The sequence below is a fragment of the Homo sapiens genome, chromosome 2 (assembly GCF_000001405.40).
Source record: "Homo sapiens chromosome 2, GRCh38.p14 Primary Assembly".
Classification (NCBI taxonomy): Eukaryota; Metazoa; Chordata; class Mammalia; order Primates; family Hominidae; genus Homo; species Homo sapiens.
Genome location: NC_000002.12, coordinates 8,585,089 through 8,590,395, shown reverse-complemented (window position 1 = coordinate 8,590,395; position 5,307 = coordinate 8,585,089). Strand labels below are relative to the sequence as shown.

Sequence of the window (5,307 nt, the reverse complement as noted above, 5' to 3'; positions counted from 1 at the left end):
GCCACCGCGTCTGGCCGAGTTTTATTTTTAAAAGGCAACTTTTCCCTCTGACAAAAACCTAACCCTTCATAGGCCATGTGAAAATCAAATTGGATAACTCAATTCAATTCAATCAACTTTTATTTAGCGCTGATTACATTTCAGCCACTGGCTAATGCATATAAAAACTGCTTCCCAAACTGTTAACCACCAGAAACACCGAGAGCAAAGCATTTATTTGAGATAGTACAGCCAATTAACCAAATATTTATAAGAGCCAGCTTCCATTTATACGACAGAGCCCTCCCAAACAGCAAGATTCATTGCAAGAACAGTCACTGTTATTTTATCAAGGTGCTAGATTTCAACAATACAGAATCACCCTATAACTTGAAAAAGCAGACACATAACAACTGCCCCCAAATCCTTCCAGAAAGCCAAAAAGGGGTGTGAAGATAGTTCAAGACCGGGGATAGATCACTATATATCACAAGACCTGTGATAGTATGTAATATCTCTCCTCTCCTGTCCTCTCCCCTTTCTTCCCCTGTCCTCCCCTCCCCTCTCCTCTCCCCTTTCCTCCCCTCCCCTCTCCCCTTTCCTCCCCTCCCCTCTCCCCTTTCCTCCCCTCCCCTCTCCCCTTTCCTCCCCTCCCCTCTCCCCTTTCCTCCCCTCCCCTCTCCCCTTTCCTTCCCTCCCCTCTCCCCTTTCCTCCCCTCCCCTCTCCCTTCCCCTCCCCTGCCCTCCCCTCTCCTCTCCCCTCCCCTCTCCCTTTTCCTCCCCTCCCCTCTCCCTTTTCCTCCCCTCCCCTTCCCTCTCCCTTTTCCTCCCCTCCCCTCCTCCCTCTCTCTCTCTATATATACACATATGTATATGATATTTGCATGTGAGATATATATTATGTATACATACAAACACATATATATACAGAGAGAGAGAGAGAGGATTTATACCACTTTAGTTTTTTTTTTTTTTTTTTTTTGAGACAGTCTTGCTTTGTTGCCAGGCTGGAGTGCAGCGGCGTGATCTCGGCTCACTGCAACCTCCATCTCCCAGATTCAAGTGATTCTCCTGCCTCAGCCTCCTGAGTAGCTGGGACTACAGGCACCTGCCACCACGCCTGGCTAATTTTTATATTTTTAGTAGAGATGTGGTTTCACCGTGTTAGCCAGGATGGTCGCGATCTCTTGACCTTGTGATCTGCCCACCTCGGCCTCCCAAAGTGCTGGGATTACGGATGTGAGCCACCGCACCCAGCCACCACTTTAGTTCTTTTACTCATCCCTGCTGTGAGTTCTTGGCTTGCAGATGTTGTAAGATGTCATAATATTCGGCTATTCCATTAAACAGTGTCTGCTTTGAGTGCCCAGCCCCTCTGACTGCAGTCCTCCAGGGGTAACAATGCCTCTGATGTCCCCTGGTGCCCCGGGAGTGCACTGGTGTTGTCAGGTGAGACTGTTTTAGCTGAGATTTCTACTGTACCCAACTGACCTGACAGCTCTGTATAAACTTCTTCTTGGGATGCAGGAAACGGGCTATAGGTGTATCCTAATGATCCTACGAGGCTGTGGCTGGTGCATATTTCAAAATCATCTTCCAGAGCAATATGAATCAATAGCTAATGAGCCATCTATTTTTGCCCTCCAATGACTATTCTTGTAAGGTGGGAAAGGATGTGGCTTCTTAAAATGAAAAAGGCATCACAGCCCTTTGGTATCTCACACCATCAACCTTCCTTCCCCTCCTGTATGAGCAGCAGCATGGTCAGGATGGTGTATAGCTTGGAGGAGGGAAAGTAAGGGCTGCTCTGGGGCAGGGAGGGTGACTGAGATCAGTCTCACCAGGTAGTCCCCTCCTTGGAGAGAGACCCTAGAGCCGCATGGTCTGGGTTCAGATTCCAACTTCCCTACTTAGCGCTGGTAAGATGGTCCATGCAGCCACCCTTTGCCTTAGTTTTTCCATCTGTGAAATGGGAATGATATCCGTGAGGTGGCCCAGTGTGTTAGTACAGGCAGGGGGCTCCCAGCAGCACCCAGCATGCACTAAGATGTTGTTGAATAAGTAGAAGCAGGGACCAGACTTAGAGATGAATGAGGCTGCAGAAGCTGGGGGGAGACTTACGCATTCTTCTGCCTCCCTCCTTGAGTCACCATTTGGGTGGCAAAATTGTTCTGGCTGAACTGTTTCCGAGGCTTTTGACCTTCTGAGGACCTGTGGGGCTTGATGGGGCTGTGGAGAAGCCAGCAGGGTCAGTGCGGGGCCTGAGCAGAGGAGGCCAGGTGGGTTTCTCCAGGGTTGGTGGCACAGGGGCCTGAGCAGAGGAGGCCAGGTGGGTTTCTCCAGGGTTGGTGGCACAGGGTTCCACCAGGCAGGCCTGGCTTCAAACTGGGCTCTGCCATTTACCAGGTTCCCACCTGCCCCACTGGATCCTGGTTTCCCAATCTGTAGAATGGGGATGACTTTATACCACAGCATAAAGCCTTCAACTCGTGTTCACCACTGAGACAGACACTGGGTATTTAGACTAGAGCTTGGGACCCATATACAAGGGCTGCTAGGGCGGAGCTCAGGACTGAAGCACTACTTACGTGAGAAGGCGAGAGGCCCTGGAGGGCTTCACCTGGTTGTGCCTGGTCCCTGAAGCATTCAGGTTTCGGGTAAAGCCCTGGGCACAGCTCTGCGGCCCTCACATTGGGGGGTCCCTGATATGGAGGGCTGGTAGCTCACGCTGCATGTCACTGCGAGCCAGCTAGGAGGCTGTTGGAAGATGGCCGGAGGGAGAGAATAAGTTGGAGACCGAGGGGACAGCCATGGTCTGAGGACCACTGCTGAAGGAGATCCAACTACTTTGCAGAGTGGAAGAAGGACCCAGCAGCCATTTTGTGCCGTCGGGACAGGAGGATGGGGTGGCCGTGCTGCCGCGGTGGCCACAGGTTACATCCTACCTGGCATCTTTCTAAGATGAAGAGCTGCAGTGGAGGAGGGGCCCCCACGTGGGTGAAAGTTCCTCTCCCCTGCAGGCCTGGGAGGAGGGAGGGGAGGAAGCTGGAGTGCTGCCCCCTTGGCTGTCTGGAGCTCATCTGCTCTGCCCCCGGTCGGGGAGGTGACCAGGGAGCCGAGGGGGCCTTGGGCTCAAACGCGAAGTCCCGTTTTGAACGGTGCCACTTGCACTCCAGATGTGAAACTCCAGATGTGCTCCAGACCTCACTTTTTCTTACTTTAAAGCAAATGTGTTTAGACTGGGACTGTGTTTGACCTCTCAAATTCCAGGTTTTAGGTTTGCTGCAAACCTGTCCTCAACGTGGGGCTGTTTTCAGATTTGAAGGTGAGCTATCTTGACCTGGTTCACACCTTGTCTTGGTTTGACATGAGCTGTTCTGGCTCCTGAGGCGTGACCTGACCCGGACCCCGTTCGCTGCCCTGTGAGGCCGGCACGGGCCACCTCTGGCAGCGCTCGTGCCTGGCCATCACCCTTTGATTTGGTCCCACCGGCCGCCCCATGGCTCTAGCTGTTCCCCCACCATGAATCACAGCAGCCCTCGCTTCGGATGGCTGCCGTGAGAAGAAAGTGAATCAACCCAGCCCCTTTGGCTTTGAATCCACTGCTCTGTCTCCTGGCTCCAGGCCCCTGTCCTGCCTCCTGGACTGGCTTGGGGACCTCTTTGGCTCCCTCAGATCTACCATGGCCTCCCCCAGGGGTCAAATGCGAGTTCCACTTTTGGAAGAGGCCGGTCCAGCCCAGCTGGACATCCTGAAGGGGAATGGAGCATCCCAGGCCAGGCAGCCTCTACAGCTGCCAGCCCTCTCATGGAGCCCAGAATCTTCTCCTGCTCTTCCAGCCAAGGGGGAGGCCCCCTGCTTGGGAGCTCCTGGGGGCTGTGGCTTGATAGCAGCAATCTCAGAGGTATCTGGTGTTACTTGGGTGTTGCTGTGGGAACCTCACCACTCATGGGTTACCCTTTACACTGGTGACCTTTTCTTTCGTGTCTGAGCAGGATGACATCTCAAATGTCAAGAACTTTAATTTTCACTTAGCAACGTCCCTGTGAGGTGATTTCCAGCCAACTTGGAAGCGGAAAGTTCAGGCATTTCTGAGTGGGTCGAATAATAACAATTTAAAAAGGATCCTCAAACAAAATGAAAAAGGCCCCAGAAAACCCAGACTCTCACCGATCCCCAAACCCCGTCATGCTTCTGTTTCCTCAGGAAGGTGACGCGGTTTCAAGCTCTTGTTGCATGTCAGGTGCACTGGCTATAGTGGGAGCTGGTGGCACTAGTGAGTGGGACGTTTCAGTTCTAAATGGATCAGGGAAGTTGCATCCTCCCCCATCTCCACCACTCGCTTGCCTACCGCAGCCTCTTTCCCCACCCCCCACCTGCAGGTGTAGCTGCTGCTGTTTCTCCCGAGGCGGCCACTGAGAGCCACAGTGTTCTCCCCTCAGGGTGCCCTTTGGCTTGTTGCTTGTGGCTACTCAGCCAGGTAAGACAGCGACATACCATCTTCTCAACATCTTCCCCAAGACCTGGACTAACTGTGGCATCAGACGTAATTGGGGTTTGAATCCTGGCTCTGCAACTTCCACATGGGTGGCTTAACTTGGCCAGGCGCAGTGGCTCACACCTGTAATCCCAGCATTTAGGCGGGTGGATCACGAGGTCAGGAGATCGAGACCATCCTGGCTAACACGGTGAAATCCCGTCTCTACTAAAACTACAAAAACAAAATTAGCCGGGCGTGGTGGAGGGGGGTGCCTGTAGTCCCAGCTACTCAGGAGGCTGAGGCAGGAGAATGGTGTGAACCCGGGAAGCGGAGCTTGCAGTGAGCTGAGATCGCGCCACTGCACTCCAGCCTGGGCGACAGAGTGAGACTCCGTCTCAAAAAAAAAAAAAAAAAAAGTGACTTAACTTTTCTGATTGTCAATTTTCTTGCCCATAAAATAAGGAAAAATACATTTTAACCCGTAGAGTTGTTTCAGAGATGAAACGAAGTGACATATGAGGTATATTTGATATGACAGTCAACACCAGTTAAGGGTTTATCCTGTGCTGGTCACTATTGTAAGCTCTTCTAAGCACTGTGTGAACTCATTCATTCTCCTCTAATGACCCTTAGAGGTAGGTAACATTATTATTATCTCCATTCTTAACATTTTCTAAAAACAGTTATAGTGAGAGAAATTAACGTACTATACAATTTACCCATTGAAAGTGTACAATCCATTGCTTCTTGGCATATTTTTAAAAATTGTGGAAAAATATATAAAGCTTATCATTTTTATAATTTATATTTTATAATTCATATCAGAACCTGGCGATGTGAATTATATT

At 51.0% G+C, this 5,307-nt stretch overlaps 1 annotated feature.

Annotated features, from left to right (window-relative positions):
- Positions 2,412 to 3,064: an enhancer, noted in NCBI's record as "H3K4me1 hESC enhancer chr2:8727462-8728114 (GRCh37/hg19 assembly coordinates)". NCBI's record gives its function as "activates a minimal SCP1, AML or CMV promoter by ChIP-STARR-seq in naive H9 embryonic stem cells {active_cell/tissue: H9 hESC(naive)}" and the evidence as "EXISTENCE:reporter gene assay evidence [ECO:0000049][PMID:30033119]".